Below are 19,415 nucleotides of genomic sequence, written 5' to 3' on the forward strand. Positions count from 1 at the left end.
GAGAGGCTGCAGCTGTAGTTGCTTAAGGACTCTTGTGTAGTAATCTCACTGATGGCCATTGTCTTTTGAGTATCTACTTTGCACTAGACACTATGTGAAGCCCTTCTCGTTAATCCTCATAAGAACCCTAAGCAGGTGGGTGTACCCTATTTTACTGAGACCCGGAGAAGTTAAATCATTTGGCCAAGATTACACAGCTCAGCACCGCCCCGTCCCTGACCCCCGAGCTCCTCTGGTTGACGGTCCTCTGGATAAGTGTTCTCCAGTTCACTTTGACCCTTCTCAGGACTTGGCCCAAGGCCCCAGCTTCTGTCTGGTTGCTCCAGTGACCCTCAGTGTAGTGTCTGCCCTGACCTCAGGAACCAGTTCAGAGCTGGTCTGGAAGAGCATTGTCCTACACGGTCTGAAAGGACACAGCCATGTGGCCCTCGCTCCTCCGTCCCTCCTGGCTTGCTGGCTTCTGGCAGCACTCAATTTGCGACGTGAGCTGAACCGGTTGTGTCTCTGGGCTTTGCATGTTGCCTGCCTCCCGGGATTCAGATGGTCTCTGCTGCTTGTTTTTATTTTTCTTCTTGACTTCCTCTCCTCTCCTCCTTTCCCTCTGCTCCCACCCTGTCCCCATCTGTTGTGGCCCCATGGGGGTCTTTTCCTCCCCTCCCAGATGTGCAGGCAGGATTTGGGATGGAGGCAGAAGCCTCCTTCCTTCTGGCTTCTCGAGAAGGAAGGAAGCTAACAGTTTGGACAGCTGTTACCTGCCGGGCTCTGGGCTAGGCTTTTGGCATACGTGATCACACAGAGCCCTCATGACACTTCTGTGAGGCATACACAGCTTTATCTCTACAGATGGGGCAGCTGGGGCTGGGAGGACTCAGGTGTTGCATCCATGGTCACATGATAAGGATCTGACTCGATTTAAAATTTTTGGCTTCCCAAACTTAAATGTGCCTATGAATCACCTGAGTATTTTGTTAAAATGCAGATTCTGATTCAGGAGGTCTGGGATGAGTGTGAAGGGCTGCGGTATTTAATAAGCTCCAGGAGAGGCTGATGCTGCTAGTTCATGGACCACAACATGAGTAGCATAGGGAGGAGCCAGCAGAGCTCCCACTTGCCACTTAAGGGATTCTCCCACTTGAGGGTTCACCAGCCCTCAATCCACACCACCTCCACCCCCTCCACTGTCTTTCCTCCTTTTTAGGAATTGCTGATGGGGCACCTGACACTTTTCCACCCTGCCCACGTGCTGACCCTGCATGTCTCAGGGCCCTGGTTGTCTGCTCTCTGAGGTTGACCAGTGCTGGAATATGGGGGACTGAGGCTCAGAGAAGTAGAGGGACTTGTCCCAAATCTCATACTATTAGCACAGAGGATTCAGGTTGTGACTCCCCATCCAGTGTTCTCTACTATTGCTTCCACTAGGACTCAGAGGTCTTGAGATTCTAGTCCTGGTCCTGTCTTTGACTTGCTCTGTGACTTTAGGCAGCTCACTTTCCCTCTCTGAACCTCAGCTTTCCTGTTTGAAAAATGGCTTAACCTCTGCCCTGTTGTGAGTGTCAAATGGGAGAATATCTAATTTACAGCATAAAGGATTTTTATGAGCCCTGAGACCCACCAGTCCTAGTAGAGTGGGAGAAACCTAGTAGGGCAGGAAAGTGGGTTCTCGTGGTACTTACATGTGCGTATGGCAGGGGCTTCATTTGACAAAACACCTCCTTGTTCTGTCATTGAGAGAGTTCCTCGCCTCCTGCCTGTTTCTCTTAGTCCTGGGTGGCAATCAAGCATCTGATTTTCCCCCTTTCCTAGTTCAGGTGCCTGTTATTCTGTCATTAGCACACAGTAAGGAGGCCCAGGGGTGGGGAGCCTGCTGCAGTGCCACCCCCACCCCAGGACACATCCCTATTACTTGAGAAGAAGGGAGTGTGGAAACGTGTGATTCAGTTGACACAGATTCATTGTACTCGCCCAGTTCTTCGCTCTGGAACGCACTTCTACATAAGGCAGGCTCAGCTGTGGCTTAGGAGGCCAGCCAGAGCCTCGAGTCTGCAGGACCTGAGCGAGTGGTGGTCTGCTCAGCAGGCCTCCTTGGCTTCCCTTGGCCTCTGGCCCTCACTGACCACATGACCAAGGAGAGCCTGCTGGGGCCAAAGAGAACCTCTTTCCCACCAGCTTTATCTGGGAGCCTGTGGGTCTGCGTTTCTCATCATCTGACCCACTGGAAAAGGAAAGGCAGGAGTTTCCATAAGGGAATAAATGGATGCGGAAGGAAACCACCCCTCAACCCCCGGTAAAGGGGGGTTAGTGTGAGAGAGACTGCAGCCTTCACGATAGTGTGAGGCAGAGATGCCAAAACTGTCCTGGGAAATAGTGCCTCTGCGCCTCCACCCCACACCCTCCCGTCCTGCAAAGGTTTAGTAAGCACCTACTCAGTGCTTGGCACCTTTCCAGGTGCTGGGACTCAGCAAAGGACAAGGCCAGGTGCTTGGACAGTTTATATTCTGGAGAGGAGACGGATGGTCCCTGGTTCCATGCTATGCTTAAAACACAGTGATGCGGCCGGGTGCGGTGGCTCACACCTATAATCCCAGCACTTTGCGAGGCTGAGGTGGGTAGATCACTTGAGGTCAGGAGCTTGAAACCAGCCTGGCCAACATGGCGAAACCCCATCTCTACCAAAAATACAAAAATTAGCCAGGTGGTGGAGCATGCCTGTAGTCCCAGCTACTCGGGACGCTGAAGCAGGAGAATCGCTTGAACCCAGGAGACAGATTGCAGTGAGGTGAGCTCACACCGCTGCACTCCAGCTGGGGCGACAGAGTGAGACGCTGTCTCAAAAAAACAAAAACAAAAACCCACAGTGATGTAATCCCCGTGAGTGGAAGGATTGGAGTGTTGGGGAAGGCCTCTCTCACTGCGACTGAACAGTGGGAAGGTGGCCCCAGGACCTGGGGGAGGTGTCCCAGGTGGACAGCCCCAGACAGAGGGTTGTGTTCCATGGGAAGGAAGAAGGCCACCATGCCTACTGTATAGGGAGGGTGGGAGAGTCCAGGAGGTGGTGAGAAAGCAGGCAGGCTCCAGCTGCACTCGGCCCCTGAGGACTCCGGGTTTTAGTCAAGGGCAATGAGAAGTCAGGGGAGGGTTTTCAGCAGGAGAGTGAGCGATGAGCCCTGGTATCCGCTCTGCCTCCAGCTCGCTGGGCATGGTGGGCAAGCCCTGCCCCTCTTGATGGGAGCTTCCTCCTTCGTGATGTTGCCTGGGCTTCTGGAACCCAGGAAGACTCTCAAAGGTACTAACAGGTGTGGAGAACTTTCCCCTCCCCATTCTTTCAAAGTCACATAGATAACATGGGGAATGCCCACTTTGCTGGATTCTCACAGGCTGCTCAGACACCCTGAGTGGTAAATACCATGGACTTGGGGAGTGGTTTCTTAGTCTGGGGTTTGGGTCAAATTAACTATCATAGGGTCCTTAAATAGCCTACAAAGTAGTGTATATGGAAAATAGGTACGTGTATATGAGTTTATGCAAATAGAGAATTCACATGCAAGATACATCACCCTACTTCTAATGTGTAAGAAAGAAATAGAAATATGGCTATTTATTTATTTATTTGTTTTTTTGAGACGGAGTCTCACTGTGTCCCCCAGGCTGGAGTGCAGTGGCATGATCTCGGCTCACTGCAACCTCTGCCTCCCGGGTTCAAGCGATTCACCTGCCTCTGCCTCCCGAATAGCTGGGATTACAGGCGTGCACCACCACGCCTGGCTAATTTTTGTATTTTTAGTAGAGATGGGGTTTTGCCATGTTGGCCAGGCTGGTCTCGAACTCCTGACCTCAGGTGATCTGACCCACCCACCTTGGTGCTGGGATTACAGGTGTAAGCCACTGCGCCTGGCCTATTTATCTTTTTTGCCAATCACATAATGTTAAATTCACTCTGGTTAAATAGGAATATGATGGGTTGCCACTATATGACTTTTGGTTAATAAACATGGGAAACCTAATTAACTCTTTCATAATTCCTCCCATTTCAAAGCCCAGGGCCATGGTGGAGCTGTGGGGGTTCCCCAGGGAGCCCAGTGTGGGAACCACAGGACCAGATGGGCTGTGAGGCCCCTCCAGCTCCCACGCTGTGCAGCAGCAGGGGCAGCTGTGGGCCGAGCACTGCTGAGTCATCTCTCCCTCGGCCTGGTCATGTGTTGGCTGACAAGCCCAGGCTGGTGTGGAGTCCTGGCCTGGGTTATTGGGGAACTGACTTCAGCTCTGGCCTGCCGAGGCCCCCAGCCTACTGGGAAGGGGGAATCGCCAGCTACCTACTGCCTGTCCACCCACCTGAGGGTCCCCTGTCTGTTCATAAACCCCAGGAGCCGGCCACCTGAGAGGGCTGCATATCCTGGGTGTGTGAGTGCTGCCTGGGGGCTCTGGCATGACAGCAAGGCGGCAGTCAGCTCCAGGCAGCACTGGGCTGAAGGTGTGCACTGGCATCTTGCTGCCCTGTTGAGCATGACATTTCCTTAAATGCCATGAAGGGGCTGCCTGACCTTCACTCTCTTGCCAGGACCCCCTTTCTACCTCTTTCTGGGTTATTTATAACAGTGTTTACAAGAAAAAGGGCTTCTCAGCTGAGCCCTGGCCCTGCTCCCTCGGTCTCTCCTGCCAGCCAGGGCAGGAGATGCGGAAATAGAACCAGAGAACGTGGACACTATAGGACCCCAGAAAACACCTCCAGATGGAGTGTGTGGGACACTTTGTTTTTTTAGGTCTCTGGGACTTTTTTTTTTTTTTTTTTGAGACAGTTTCGCTGTTGTCGCCCAGGCTGGAGTGCAATGGTGTGATCTCGGCTCACTGCAACCTCCGCCTCCTGGGTTCCAGCGATTCTCCCGCCTCAGCCTCTCGAGTAGCTGGGATTATAGGCACCCACCACCATGCCCAGCTAATTTTTGTATTTTTAGTAGAGACGGGGTTTCACCATATTGGTCAGCTGCTCTCGAACTCCTGTCCTCAGGCCGTCCACCCACCCTGGCCTCGTAAAGTGCTGGAATTATAGGCTTGAGCCACTGTGCCTGGCCAACTTTTTAAAAAAAATTGTGGTAAAATGTACCTAACATAAAATTTACCCTTTTTTTTTTTCCTTTTTGAGACAGGGTCTTGCTCTGTCATCTAGGCTAGAGTAGTGCAGTGGTACCATCACAGCTCACTGCAGCCTCAACTTCCTGGGATCAGGTGATCCTTCCACCTCAGACTCCAGAGTAGTTGGGACAATAGGCATACGCTACTGTGCCTGGCCAATTTTTGTATTTTTTTTTTTTTTAGAGACAGGGTTTTGCCACGTTGCTCAGACTAAAATTTACCATTTATAAAGTACAAAACAGTGGCATTAAGTCCATTCACCATGTCATAAAACTATCAGCAGTCCAGCACTTTTCTGTCCTCCCAAAGTCAGGTACTTTGTCATCCTCCTGACACAGGAGGATGGCTGGCATGTCCCTAGGCACATCTGAATTTTGAGGAAATCCCACACAACATGGCAAGGAAAGGAAGCACCTGCCAGCTCATGAGCAGGGTGTCAGTGGTCGCCCCTTCAGCCGTGTGACATGAGCAACAGTCACCCTTTGCTTTCCTTCCGACTCAGGACCAAGGTCAGAATTCCAGCGAGTAGACTGCCAGAGGACATCCTGATTGCAGGAAGAACCAGGAATCTGCTCCAGTCTCTTTCTTTTCTTAAGCAAAATCGATGCATTTCACTAACTTCACTCCTTTCATTAGAAATAGGGCACGTGTTTTGTAACTCACCTCAAAGCTGAATGCCACCCCCCATCCTGGCAGGCCATTCACCATCTTTGAGAAGAATTTAATAACAGTTCCTGGAGAGTTTCTTATAAGCATTTTACAGTTTTCCTAAATACCTCATGAGGGCTGGAGCAATTCCACAGCAACTAGGAGGTTATGGGCCCCATTGCAGAGATGTTGAAACTGAGGCCCCACTAAATGGCGTGACCCGAGACATGGTCCCATTTTAGTCACCTGCATGAACAGTAACTTTCTCCATCTAATCCCGCCCAGGTGAGGGCTAAGGTAAGGCAAAGGAGGCACTTGGCTCTGGCACAAAATTTAAGGAGATGCTAAAAAACTCAGTCGTCAAGATCAATCCTATTTATATCAGTGTTTAAAAAATAATTGATATAAATATCCATGCTGAACAAAATATCCAATTTTAAAACAAAGGCAGAAACAGCAACGGGGCCATGCGTAGCCCTACAGGAACCGAGGCAAGAGGGAAAAAATTGGCACCACTGACCTCACCTTTACTTAGAATTTTGGTATTTTGTTAATCTTGGGTGGATATTTTGCATTAATTTTAAAATTGCATTAAAATATGATCTACCTTGATGACTGAGTATTTTGATGTGTAAGGCACCCTAATTCCAGCCCCAGCTCCACCTCCCAATTTCTGTGAACTACTGGAACAGCTGACCCCTGCCTTCAGGTCCCCAGGCCCTGGGGTCCTTGGATGCCAGGGCCTTTCACTCCTGAGAGTCAAGAGAGCAGCTGAGGATGGCATTTGATCCCTGCAGTCTATTTTTGTGCCTGCCCTTCAGCAACTGATAAAATGTTGCTCTCGGTAGAGCTGATGTGTTGAAATGGTGAGTGTTGATGTCAGGTGGTTTGTGTGATCATGTATCTTCATTCTTGACCTTGTAGAGGGGCCTGGAACCAGGAAAGAAACTGAACTCTCAGCGTTTTTGCCCCCCACAGACTTTGACAAAACCTGAAATTGTTATCTGGTGACTGAGGCTGCCAGGAAGCTTGGTCTTGTCTTGGGGCTGTGTGGAAAAAATGCACATGTTGCGCTCTCTTGTTTTTGTACACGGTCCTATACCCTTTACAAGACACTCATTTTGTTTCTTGAACGCATGTTTATTGAGCACCTACTATGTGCCAGGCATTATGCTGGGCATTTGGGATACAGTGGGCAACAAGGCAAACCCAGACACAGCCCCTGCTCACATGGAGCTGCCAGTTGTGGGAGGCAGCAGTAAACAAGTAGATAAATTAGTAATGGGGGTAGTTCTGGAGATGGATGGTGGTGATGGCTGCATAGCAATGTGGGTGTACTTAATGCCACTGAACTGCACACTTAAAAATGTTTAAAATGGGCCAGGCATGGTGGCTCATGCCTATAATCCTAGCACTTTGGGAGACCAAGGCAGGAGGACTGCTTGAGCCCAGGAGTTTGAGACCGGCCTGGACAACACAGAAAGACCCCTATCTCCACCTTAGATAGATAGATAGATAGATAGATAGATAGATAGATAGATAGATAGATCCATCTCTACCATAGATAGATAGATAGATAGATAGATAGATAGATAGATAGATAGATCCATCTCTACCATAGATAGATAGATAGATAGATAGATAGATAGATAGATAGATAGATCCATCTCTACCATAGATAGATAGATAGATAGATAGATAGATAGATAGATAGATAGATAGATCCATCTCTACCATAGATAGATAGATAGATAGATAGATAGATAGATAGATAGATCCATCTCTACCATAGATAGATAGATAGATAGATAGATCCATCTCTACCATAGATAGATAGATAGATAGATAGATCCATCTCTACCATAGATAGATAGATAGATAGATAGATAGATAGATAGATAGATAGATAGATAAGCAAGCAAGCAAGCTGGGAGTGGTGGTGTGCACCTGTAGTCCTAGCTACTAAGGAGGCTGAGGCGGGAGGATTGCTTGAGCCCGGGAATTCAAGGCTGCAATCAGCCATGATCATGTTACTGCACTCCAGCTCGGGCGACAGAGTGAGATCCTTTCTTAAAAAAAAAAAAAAAAAAAAAAAAAAATTAATCAATTTCATGTTATTTATATTTTACCACAATTTAAAAACATACTGATAAAAGGAGGCAGGGGATAGCAGAGAATGATAAGTGCTAATCGAGGGAATTCCAGCAGGGTGCTAGGTAGGCCAGAGACGGGATGGCCATTTGGGGTGCAGTGGTCAGGGAGGCCCATCTGGGGAGGGACGTTCAACCTGGGATGAGGATAGAAAGAAGGGAGCCGCTATGGGAGATGAAGGAGAGAGAAGGCGTTCCAGGCTGAGGAAGGCTCCAGCACAGAGGCCCCGGGGTGGACACTCAAGCCACACAACTGTTCCAGGAGGGAGGCTGGTCTTGAGAGATGCGGAGAGGGCAAGCAACTCCCTGTAACTAGCAAGTTATGAGCCAGGGCCAGCCCTGCCTCAACAAAGCCTAACAACATGTACCTGTACATCATTTTACAGTTTAGCAAGTGCTTTCCTGCCACTCTCCTTTGAATTCAAGAGGCCCTTGAGTTCAAGTGCATAAAATTGACTGTGAGTGCAGGCAGACACAATGTGTATATTACCCTGCCTTAAAACACCTTGCGCAGAATATACTTCAACCTTATTGTTTACAAACAAAATGAAACACTGCCTTCCTGGGCCTGGGGCAGGCTTGTACCTGCTGATAGGCCACCCTCCTGACAGGTGCCAGGATCCATGCTGCCGAAGGTGGGGTGGGGGGCCTAGCTGACCTCGGTGCTGAAGGAGGGGAGTCTGGGCTCTGCACAGCCACCTGCCAGGCCATCCAGGAGCTGCCTCACCCCAGGTCATCTCACCCCGACACAGCAACGAGAGACTTTGCAGATCTTCAGTGGATAAGGGGCTGCTTGCAGGCAATAGGAGTGGGTAAGGAGATGACTGTAAGATAACACCTACCCAGGAGACTGCCTGTTCTCTCTTTCCCTTATCATTTAAAGAGAGATGGATCTAATGTAGAACTTTTGGTGGATGGGCCACAGATGTTGAGAAAGTGGCCTGTCTGGAAACTGGTCTGGACAGGTCACACGGGAGATCCCGGTTTGTGTTCCGGCCCTGGGAGGAGCTGGCTGTGTGGATCTCGGGTGACTCCCTCTTCCCGCTTTCTCAGCCTCAATGTCTTAATTTGCAAATTGAGAGATTCATTCACAAAAAGTGTTACTCCAGACCCTTCCGGTACACAAAACCTTGGTTCTGTGTTATGGTAGTCCATCATAAGACTTTATTTCCTGTGTCATGGGGGCCAGAGCCTGTGTGCAGTAGTCACCTTCTTATCTAATGAGAGTGGAAACTACGGCTGGGAGGTGCAGGGAGGCTGCAGAGGGGAATTCCTAGGAAAAAGTCAGATAAAGCGCAAAATTGTGAAACACATGCCTACGTTGTCTTTTAGCGAAGCCATATGACATGTATATTCATTTTTGCCAGTCTTTTGCTATAGGACTGTTTGTGGTGCCAGCATTGAAACCGCAAGTCATCTTCCCTCCATAGTCCACACCCACAGTGCCAGGGTTCTAGTTTCCAGTTTCAGGATGCATTCAGCTGGATCAAGAACTTTGACTCTTGTCAAGCAGTCTGAGTGCTGAATCTTTCTTGATTCTTGCAAATTTCTCATAATCTTTTACCATGAACTCATTCACATGAAATTTGATGGCAGTGTTGTTTGCTTTTTAGCAGCTCAACTTTATTGAATCCTTCCACAGCCTTCAACTTAGTTTTCATTGAAATCTCGTCTTTTGTACTCATATTTTCTGTTTACGGACCAGTTAGTGAAATTTTGTAATTACACTATCGAGTGGGTTTGGGAAGAAACAGCTGAATCTTAGTAAATAAACAACTAAGTCGGTGGGAGCAGACCAGCTGAGGCTCTCAGGCACCTTAGGCATTAGTAAAGGGTGTTATTACAGGAGAGGGTGGGGAGTGTTGGTTAACCAAGTTGGTTGGTCAAGTAGAGGCTGGTTAGGAAAGCCCCTGTTATACCAAAGGCCTGAGATGGCCTGGATGGGATTAGCTTTGGCTGCAAGTAGCAGAAAACTCCCTCCAAATGATAAGAAGTTTGATGAGCTCTGAGTTGAGTCCTCTCTCAGATCCTGAGATAGGTGTCCCAGGGCAGTGTCAGGGATCCTGGCTTTCTCCATCCTGTTGCCCTGCCTACCAGGCAGAGCTGCCTTGGTCCCTGGAAACTGGGCTTCTTACTGGTTGGCTGGGTCTGGCCCAGCCTTGGAGCTCAGTTCTGAGCACTGGACCCCATCTTCTTCTCTGGACTGGAAGATCCACTCCCGCCAGACCTGGTGACCTCCTGTGGGGTCGCCTTACTCCAAGCCCTGACCAGGTACCTACTTGGCTAAGGCTTGGAGCCCGGCTGTGAAGGGCTGAGAATCACCAAGGTTGAGCTCTGCAAGCCTGAACCCGGATGCTTCCGCACAGAAAGGGCCTTGGATGCTGGGTTGAGATCTTTTGCCTTAAATGTTTTGGTGGGAGGCCCTTCCAATGGTCTGGTTTATCTCTGAGTTTAAGATGTTCTGTTCTTCTAGGCTGGGCTCAGAGCCCCTCTCTTCTGTCTACTTATTTTGTCTGGAGTTTAACTTTGTGTTTGTGGCTTTGAGTCTGATTTCAGATGATGCTGTAGGTATTTCTGTGGGGACTAAGATAAACTACTCTCCCCACTCTTCTCCTGGAAGCTTCTTTAGGTGATTTGTATTAATTTGGAAGACATGGAAAGATTGGGTTTTTTTCATAAGGTAAGAGAGATGAATAAGTTATCACTTTTTCATTGATGGGTGATAGAAACTCCAAGTGGCATGTAATCTAGAGAGGGAACGTATTCACTCCCATAACTGGAGCACAGGGAATGCCTGCCTTCAGGCACAGCTGAATCCAAGTGCTTTAGTTATTTTATTGGGAATCTATCTCTGTCTGTTTCTTGGATCTGCCGTCCCTGCTCTGGCTTCTTTCTCAGGCAGGCCCTTTGCAGGTAGTGGCAAAGAGGGCTGCCAGCCTATTCAGAACAGAATCCAGCCAGCGCAGCCCCCTTGTCCAAATGCTCCTGCAGTTTCCTGGTATTTGCCATGACCCACCCAATCCAACCAGTTGTTGTAGCCATAGGATACTTTAATTGGCCCGGATGTGCTTCCCTGGATTGCCTGGGGGTAAGGGAAGGTCAGCTTCCCAGAGGAAACTCGGTGGGCTTCCACCCACTGGGAGGGGAATGGGTAAGAGGCAGGCCAAATAACAGAGGTGAGAGAAGGAACAAAACATTTATAAAGTGAAATGGCTATGTGGGACTTCATAGGTATTTCCCACACTTCCTTCCTAGAAGGTAAGTAGAGGCGCAGGGTCATAATGTAGAGTAGGCCCCTTCTAATCAATTAGTAACAGCTGCTGAGGCTCTGTGTTGAGAAGGTTTGGGGCTTAGCAGGGTGTCGGGCTGGGATCAGTTAGTGGTATCGCCATGGAAAGAGGGAACAGTGAGCCCAGTGCTGTGCGCTTGTCACCCTAGCAGATCTCATTGCAGGTCTGCATTCCTGACAGCAGTTTAAGAAGAATAACTTGCCTCAGATCATCAAATACAACTTCTTATCAGTGAAGGAGGCACCAAGCTGGCAGTCGGGCAGGACTTAGGATATCCAAGATGGCAGTCACAGGAGGTCAGTGCAGCCGGGTGGAGCCCAGACTCCCCACCATCCCAGGCCGACCTGAAGAGAGCCAGCATGGTCTGGCTGGCAGGGCAAGATCATTCCCCCAACAGAAACCACAAGCCATGATGACACTGGGATTAGGTGGCTGGTCAAAGTTGACAGAAAAGAATTGGGTGAGCCGGCAGGTTTAGAACTGAGGATATGGGTCAGGGGATGAGTTCACGAAGCATTGACCCTCCTAGAGCCCCAGTGTTCCCATCAGTCAAATGGGAATGCTGACCACTGGCCATCCGCTGCACCTTGGGAAGGTACTGATGAGAGCACAGCTGTGAATGTCACTTGGGAACTAGAAAGTGCTATATCTGTGTCTCAGTCTGTTTCTGCTTCTGTAACAACATACCATAAACTGGGTGGCTTATACACAACAGAACTTTATTTCTCACAGTTCTGGAGGCTGGGAAGCCTAAGATCGAGGCACCGGCAGATTTTGTATCTGGTGAGGACGCATTTCCTGGTTCGTAGATTGCAGCTTCTTGTATTCTCACAGGGTGGGAGGGGCAACCGAGCTTACTTGGGTCTGTTTTATAAGGGTACGCATCCCATTCATGACCTCATCACCTCCCAGAGGCCTCGCCTCCTCATGGCCTCACCATGGGGGTAAGGATTTCAACATAAATTTGCGGGATCACAAACATTCAGACCGTAGTAATCTGTGACCACCACTCATGGATGTCTGATCCATGCCATGTTCCCAACCTGTGGTACTTTATCTTTGTAAGAACCCTAGGAGGCAGGATTGTTTTTATTATCCCCATTTTGTGACTAGAAACCTAGGTGGCAAGAAACAATGTCCTGATCTGAAAGGATCAGTGTTAACCGCAAAGCCAGTGCCCTTTTGCCTCCCTTGTCTAGGCTTCCTTCCATCTCAAGACAGTCCTTCTTTCTGCACTTTTCTCCCCTCTGGAAAGTCATTCACACGTATATTCCTTTATTTGTTCATTAAATGCTGAGTTCTGCGTGTTTCCCCCCTATGTGGATCTCAGAAATTTGATAAGTACAGAATTGTATCAAATGCTTGAGCAGGGTGTTCTCCAGAGGGCCTGTCTGGTTTTATGTTCTCTTTTCCAGAGGGGTCAGTGAGGACCAGAGGGGGGAGGTGACCCAATGAAGGACGCATAGTGAGTACTGACAGACCCAGAACCCAAGCTGTCACTGCAGCCACCCCTCCGCCCCACCTCCTCCAGCTTCCTTCCACTCAGTAGTTCTGAGAATCTGCTCTGGACCAGGCACTAAGCTAGGTGATTTGCTGATTATAGCCAGGAAAGTAGAGCCACCAATTTTTCCTGAAGATGCATTCTTTCTTAAGCAGGGAATCAATTTCCAGCAAGATCACAAGCTTCCAATGAAGCCACTTATGTGAGTCTGGAGGAAACCCCATTAATCCACGGCCAGGGTTATTTATCTCCCTGGCTTGGGGCAGCCACAGTCCTTTCAGATGAGCGATGTGGTGTTGCTGGAGAAGGGGGGCCCACGGCAGGGGGTGAGCAGGCACGTTGAGGGGCCAGAGAGGCCCTACACACGGGCCGTACAAACAGTGTGTTTGGTCCCAGGTCTGTCCTTGCTCAGCCACAAACTTGCTGTATGACTTGGGCCATTCCCAACCCTTGCCTGAAGCTCCATTTCCCCACCTGCAGATGGGAATGAATGGTCTTGAATGTTCCTTCTCACTTTCGGAAGCAGGATGGTGAATGAGGATCCTGGCTTCACAGGGAGAGAAGAGACTTGGGTTTGAATCCAAGCTTCACCCTTTTGGGACCCTGGGTGTTATGGGTTGAATTGTATCCTCTCAAAAAAGGTGTGCTGAAGCCCTAAACCCCCAGTGCCTCAGAATGTGACCTCCTTGGAGCTAGGGTCTTCACAGAGATAATCAAGTTAAAATGAGGTCATTAGGGTGGGCCCTCATCCAGTATGGCTAGTGTCCTTATCAAAAGGGGCAATTGGGGCACAGAGACAGATATGCATAGAGGGAAGAAAACATGAAAAAACAAGGAGAAAATGGTCATGTACAAGCCAAGGAGAAAGGCCTGGAACAGACTCTCAGAAGGAACCATTCCTGCAGACACCCTAATCTCAGACTTCTGTTGTTTAAGCTACCACCCAGTTGTGGTCCTTTGTTATGGAAGCCCTAGCAACCTAATTTATTTATTTATTTACTTACTTACAATTTATTTATTTATTCGAGACTGAGTCTTGCTCTGTCGCCCAGGCTGGAGTGCAGTGGCGTGATCTCTGCTCACTGCAATCTTTGCCATCCATGCCTCAGCCTCCTGAGTAGCTGGGATTACAGGCACCCGCCGCCATACCTAGCTCATTTTTGTATTTTTAGTAGAAATGCAGTTTTACCATGTTGGCCAGGCTGGTCTCAAACTCCTGACTTCAAGTGATCTGCCCGCCTCGGCCTCCCAAAGTGCTGGGATTACAGGTGTGAGCCACCGCGCCTGTTCCTAGCAACCTAATTTAAATGACTTGCCGACATGGGGACGGTAGCACCCACCCTGCTGGGTTGATTTAAGACTGATGAGAGCATGTATAGAAGGCACTTAGCATGGGCCTTGGCATCCAGTAAGGGCTCCATAATAGCAGCGGCTGTTAGTTTGTGCTTCAACCTCCCAGCTCCACTGGCAGGGCCTGTGGAAGCCTCCCGGGACAGGACAAGAAGGCCTTAATTCAGACCTTTCAAAAAGAACTGGGCCACTTGAAGCACTCCTTCAAAAGCCTCTCTAAATATGGAGATGGCCAGAGAAATCACTATTAATGTGGCGCTTAATGGTTTTTAGCTAGAGAGTGGTCTTAGCCTAATTGACAAGGCCGCGAAGCTGAGGTTTCTTTGTTTTTATGTGCTGGGTACACTTTGAGTATGTTGAGCTGCTATGGGCAATCAATAAGTGTAGTCATCACAGCCATTTTATGGACATTTTGTAAAGGAGGCGGTATGGTTTCGAGGGAAGGACACTCACCGGATGACCCCGAACAAATCCATTATCCTCTTTGGGTCTCAGTTTCCATATTTGCAAAGTGAAGGAGATAGACCAGCTAGGTTGGGAGTTCTTAAGCTAGTTCTATGAAGTTCTAAAAGTTAAGTGTACATTTTGTGCACATACCTGCATCTTCTGGGGAAAAATGTACATAGCTTTTGTCTGGTTTTTGAAGGGACCTCTGCCTCCCAGATTGTTCACCATGACTTACCTGGACAACTCTCAGAGCTGCGGGTTCCTGGCTAGTCTGGGATTCTGGGACTCTGGTTCTAAAGCTGTTTCTAAGAAGCAAGGCCTACAAAGGTGGCTGCTCTGAGTTACTGGAGAGAGGGAGATCTGGAACATAGAGCTCACCCAAGATCTTATTGCTGGGGGCTTTGCTGGCCTCGGAGGCCCCAGCTGCCTAGCAACCCGTGTCTCTGCTTTTGGCCCTCCCTTGTGTCCCACAGTCCCTAGATGGTGTCTGAGAGGTACCTCCCCAACCCACCACCTGTCCCCTCCTGGATGGCTACAACAGCTGTTAAACCATCTCCCTGCTTCTATGCTGGTCCTACCCCCATCACACTTGGGGTAAAACCCAAATCCTTTCCAATCCCTTCCTGATCCAGCCTCCACCAGCCTTTCTAGTGTCATCTTTTCCCATTTCCTCCATCCCCCACCCCTGGTCACCAAGCTGCAGCCTCACTGACCTCAACGCCTTGTGCCTTGGGCTCAGTCCCCACGGGGGTCTTTGCCTCTGACTGTCCCTCTGCCTGCAATGCTCTTCCCACCTCTTCCACTACCTGGCTTCTCCTTCAAGAAGTTTTTCCTGACATTCCATCTGATTTAGATTCTGGGCTGGGCACAGTGGCTGACACCTGTAATCCCAGCACTTTGTGGGGCTGAGGTGGGATGAGACAAGCCTGGGCAACATAGAGAGACCCCTGTCTGTACAAAAAATTAAAAAAGAAAAATTAGCCAGGTGTGGTGGTGCACACCTGTACTCTCAGCTACTTAGGAGGCTGAGGTTGAAGGATTGCTTGAACTTAAGGGGTTGAGGCTACAGTGAGTCGTGATCAAGCCATGTTGTATTCTAGCCTGGGCAACAGAGCAGGATCCTGTCTCTAAACACAAAGAGCGTGAAAAGATAGATTTTGTTTCCTGTTATCTTCCATCAGTGCACCTTGTTTGTTTCTCCTTCATAGCACTAACTCAGTCTAGAATGAAATATTTACATGTTTTCTTCCCTCACTAAGATGTCAACTCACGGAGGAAGGAGCTGAGTCTTATATAACACAGTGCCTGGCTCATAGTAGCATTGAACATGCCCACTAGAATGGCTAAAATAAAGTGACTGACAATACCAAGTGTTGGAGAGGGTGCAGAAGAATTGAACTCATACAGCTGATGGGAGTGTACAAAGTGAGTGTTCTCTCATTGTGGAAAACAGTTTTCTGTTTTATAAACTTACACACATGCTTACCATATGGCCCAACAGTTTCACTCGTAGGTATTTACCCAAGAGAAGTAAAGACATATGTCCAAACAAGACTTGTATGCAAGTATTGCAGACTTACTAGAAATGGCCCAAAACAGGAAACAAACCAATTATCCATGTAGAACAGGACCACGGCTGCATCCCCACAGTCTGCTTGGGCACGAAGGAGAAAGAAGCTCCCAAGAGGCAGCTGAGAGAATCCACCTGAGTTCCCGCAGCAGGGGCAGCCACTGAGTGCTGGTGATTTGTAGTTGGGGGGCATGACAGTTGGGCTTGTGGGGAGAGCGGTACCTGGGGGACCCAGAGATTGAGGAAGCACCTGTGTCCCTCTCATCTTCAGATTCCCAATCAGGTTCAGAAGTGTTCTGCTCTTCTCTGGAGAGTCATGATTTAGAATTACATGTTTTGTTTGTGTGATTATTTGTTTAATGTCATCCTTCCCCACCCACCATCACAGTGCCTGGCTCAGAGTGAGTGGGCTCTCAATAATGAGGATTGTGGAATACATGTGGATTGGAGAAAGAATGGGCAGGTGGTGGGCAGGGTGGTGGGGCCATGCTCCCAGAGACAGACTTGCTGGGCACCTTGCTGCCTGCTTGAGGACAGGGGACCGGCCGCTTGAGAGGACCTGGGCCTGTTGCCGCCTGTGTAGGCAGGATTCTTGCAAAATGCCAATTAAGACATTTGACCCAAATTTGGATAAAAGCCTTTTTCCTGTGTCAAGTTGAGCTAATAATATACATTTATTCATAATTTATGAGGCCTAGTAAGTGGGAACAATTAAGGGAAAGGTCTGGGGAAAACCTGTTTCTCTTAAGTGTCACATATGCCTCTTTTTGTTCTCTGAGAAGTTCCCGCTCCTCTCTGCCTACCATGAAATACCATTGTTTTATCATTATTATTATCATTATTTGTTATATTACTCTTAGCTGACATTTATTGAGCAGTTACTAGGCCGGGCTATAATGACATTGCCTCTTTTAATCTTAACATATAAGGCAGATATTGTTGTTGTCCACGTTTTACAGATGAAGGGACTTGCCCAAAGTCCACAACTGGTGAATGGGGATCTCAACTCACTTCTGCCAGGCCCCAGGGCCAACAGAACATCACCAAGCCATTCTGTTTCTGTGTCAGCCCCCCAACTCAGGCTATTTCTGAATCTGTAGGGCAGTTCTTCTATTGGTAACCATTAAACTGGGGAGACCAGGGTGAGAAATTGATTGGCTTCTGATTCAGTAGCTCTGGGTTTAGGCCTGAGAATTTATATTATTTCCAACATACCAGGTTTCCAGGTGATTCTGGTGCTGCCCGTCTGGGACTACACTTTGAGAACCACTGATTCAGGCAATGCTGTTATCAGAGTCACCTGTGGCTCCCTTCTCCCCTACTCACTGCTGTTAGGTGGGTTTATGACCGTCTAGATCTTTTCCTGTGTGTTTGCATACATGCTATCCTACATAGAGAAATATATGGCTTGATTTTTACTTTCTTTACACATGTGGGGTTATATTTTACATGCTGGTATTCTACAACTTTTTTATTTAATGTGTCTTGGAGAACACACAGATCTTCCTCATTCTTTTCAACAGCACTGTAGTATTTCATGATATGGGTGTTTGTTTGTTTGTTTGTTTTTGTTTTTTTTTGTTTGTTTTTCGTTTTTTTGAGACAGTTTCCATCTGTCACCCAGGCTGGAGTGCAGTGGCTCGATCTCAGCTCACTGCAACGTCCGCCTCCCGGGCTCAAGTGATTCTCATGCCTCAGTCTCCCAAGTTACTGAGATTACAGGCATGCGCCACCACCCCTGGCTAATTTGTGTATTTTTAGTAAAGACGGGCTTTCGCCATGTTGGCCAGGCTGGTCTTGAACCCCTGACCTCGAATGATCCGCCCACCTTGGCCTCTCAAATTGTTGGGATTACAGGCATGAGCCACCATGCCCGGCCCGTGATACGGGTGTTTTATGGCTTTATTTACATATTGTCTATTGATTGGTGTTCCATCATATATCATATATGTAATTTTATGTTCATCATATATGTTCCATCGTATATTACATCATATATGTAATTTTAGACATTACATATATTCCTATAAAATTCCTGGGAACATGAATGGGTGTTTCTCCAGAACCTAGCAGTCACACAATACTGTCAGTCATTATTATTGCTGTTTTTTGTTTCATTATTAATATAGAGGCATTGTTAGCTTTAAGAAGTCCACTTATAAGTGGGGACATATGTGTAAAGGATTAGCTCCTCTATTTACAGTCTTTAATAAAGTTTTCAACAAAACAGTTCTGGTAACAGGAGGACAGAGATGTATGTGGGCAGGGCCTTGAGGGATATGTAGGAGTGCAGAGGGGAGAGCAGCAGGGGGTTTTGTACTGCTGGGGCCTAGCTTAGCTACCAGAAGATTCAACCAAGGGGTGAAGCTGATCTTTCCATTTCTTGGTCATTTGGCAAAATCGGGCCTTGGCCACGGGTCCAGATTAGCTGCATCATTATTGAGAGGGCCCCTGCTTGGGTCTAGCCAGCCTCAGCTCTGATCCACCTCTTTCCTTCCTGTCTCCTCAGGGTGGAGGGTCCGGGGAGGAGCAACTCTATGCTGACTTTCCAGAACTTGACCTCTCCCAGCTGGATGCCAGCGACTTTGACTCGGCCACCTGCTTTGGGGAGCTGCAGTGGTGCCCAGAGAACTCAGAGACTGAACCCAACCAGTACAGCCCCGATGACTCCGAGCTCTTCCAGGTATGCCCTTTCCAGTCTCCCCTCCTCCCACCCTGCCAGGCCTCTCTCTCCTCAAAATCCCGGCTCTGCCCTGCTCTGCCTTCTCCTGCACTTGCTCATGCAGAGAAATCCCCTCACCCACCAAAGCTGTTGGGCCCCGGTTTCTCGTGCTGGATGGGCCCCTGATCTGGCGCAGCGCACATGCCTCACCTGGCCCTTGCTGTGTCACCTCCAGAAAGTAAGGGTGAGATGAACTGCTCTCTAGGCCTCCCGAGCAGAACCAAGCCCCTTCGTGTGCCACAGAGGTCCAAGTCCTCTGTTCCCTACATTATCTCATCCAGTCTTCGTCCCCACCCTGCAAGACAGGGTCCAGTATTTTCCCATTTTACAGATAAGGAAAATGAGGCTTGGAAAAGTTAAGTCATGTGCCTAGGGCAATTAACCTAGTCAGAAGTTGAACTGGATTCAAACCCAGTCTTCTTGCCTCCAGAGCCGGGACTTTACGACCATGATGATACCATAATGAGATGACTGGCATTTATTGAGCAGCTGTTCTGTGGGAGAGCTGTCCCTGTTTGTGTATATTAATTCATTTAAATTTCTTAACAACTCTCAGTTGTAAATACAATTATCTCCCTTTTTCAGCTGGAGCCTAGAGGTTCTTTAATAA

General features: G+C 48.5%; 1 protein-coding gene across 8 annotated transcripts in view, besides 7 other annotated features; it reads left to right on the plus strand.

The window, feature by feature from the left end:
• The window catches only part of PPARGC1B (PPARG coactivator 1 beta), a 127,650-nt gene that overhangs the window by 71,531 nt on the left and 36,704 nt on the right, over positions 1-19,415 (plus strand). For 6 of the 8 annotated variants that reach the window (XM_011537553.3, XM_011537555.3, NM_133263.4 and 3 more), the window contains exon 2: positions 18,593-18,766. In XM_011537553.3, the coding sequence (XP_011535855.1) occupies positions 18,593-18,766 (174 nt within the window). Of the gene's footprint in view, positions 1-15,571; positions 15,939-18,592; positions 18,767-19,415 lie in introns of those variants that run through there. The other 2 variants (XM_011537554.3, XM_005268372.4) reach the window with 2 other exon arrangements.
• Positions 2,396-3,205: an enhancer, noted in NCBI's record as "H3K27ac-H3K4me1 hESC enhancer chr5:149183799-149184608 (GRCh37/hg19 assembly coordinates)". NCBI's record gives its function as "activates a minimal SCP1, AML or CMV promoter by ChIP-STARR-seq in primed H9 embryonic stem cells {active_cell/tissue: H9 hESC(primed)}" and the evidence as "EXISTENCE:reporter gene assay evidence [ECO:0000049][PMID:30033119]".
• Positions 3,857-4,506: an enhancer, noted in NCBI's record as "active region_23390". NCBI's record gives its function as "activates an Ori minimal core promoter by ATAC-STARR-seq in GM12878 lymphoblastoid cells {active_cell/tissue: GM12878}" and the evidence as "EXISTENCE:reporter gene assay evidence [ECO:0000049][PMID:35858748]".
• Positions 4,096-4,240: an enhancer, noted in NCBI's record as "145 bp enhancer 202 fragment used in the MPRA reporter construct; PK_construct_3486". NCBI's record gives its function as "activates an SV40 promoter by MPRA in HepG2 cells {active_cell/tissue: HepG2}" and the evidence as "EXISTENCE:reporter gene assay evidence [ECO:0000049][PMID:23512712]".
• Positions 4,163-4,173: a transcriptional cis regulatory region, noted in NCBI's record as "NFE2L2 motif; enhancer activity is reduced when this motif is scrambled". NCBI's record gives its function as "necessary for full MPRA enhancer 202 activity {active_cell/tissue: HepG2}" and the evidence as "EXISTENCE:site-directed mutagenesis evidence [ECO:0005528][PMID:23512712]".
• Positions 13,914-14,058: an enhancer, noted in NCBI's record as "145 bp 5:149195389 sequence used in MPRA reporter constructs". NCBI's record gives its function as "activates a minimal TATA-containing promoter with rs251467 allelic activity by MPRAs in UACC903 melanoma cells {active_cell/tissue: UACC903}" and the evidence as "EXISTENCE:reporter gene assay evidence [ECO:0000049][PMID:36423637]".
• Position 13,986: a transcriptional cis regulatory region, noted in NCBI's record as "rs251467 or 5:149195389 MPRA-significant variant associated with a GWAS melanoma risk locus at 5q32". NCBI's record gives its function as "allelic transcriptional activity by MPRAs in UACC903 melanoma cells {active_cell/tissue: UACC903}" and the evidence as "EXISTENCE:reporter gene assay evidence [ECO:0000049][PMID:36423637]".
• Positions 17,335-17,851: an enhancer, noted in NCBI's record as "H3K4me1 hESC enhancer chr5:149198738-149199254 (GRCh37/hg19 assembly coordinates)". NCBI's record gives its function as "activates a minimal SCP1, AML or CMV promoter by ChIP-STARR-seq in primed H9 embryonic stem cells {active_cell/tissue: H9 hESC(primed)}" and the evidence as "EXISTENCE:reporter gene assay evidence [ECO:0000049][PMID:30033119]".

Source organism: Homo sapiens, chromosome 5 (genome assembly GCF_000001405.40).
Source record: "Homo sapiens chromosome 5, GRCh38.p14 Primary Assembly".
NCBI lineage: Eukaryota > Metazoa > Chordata > Mammalia > Primates > Hominidae > Homo > Homo sapiens.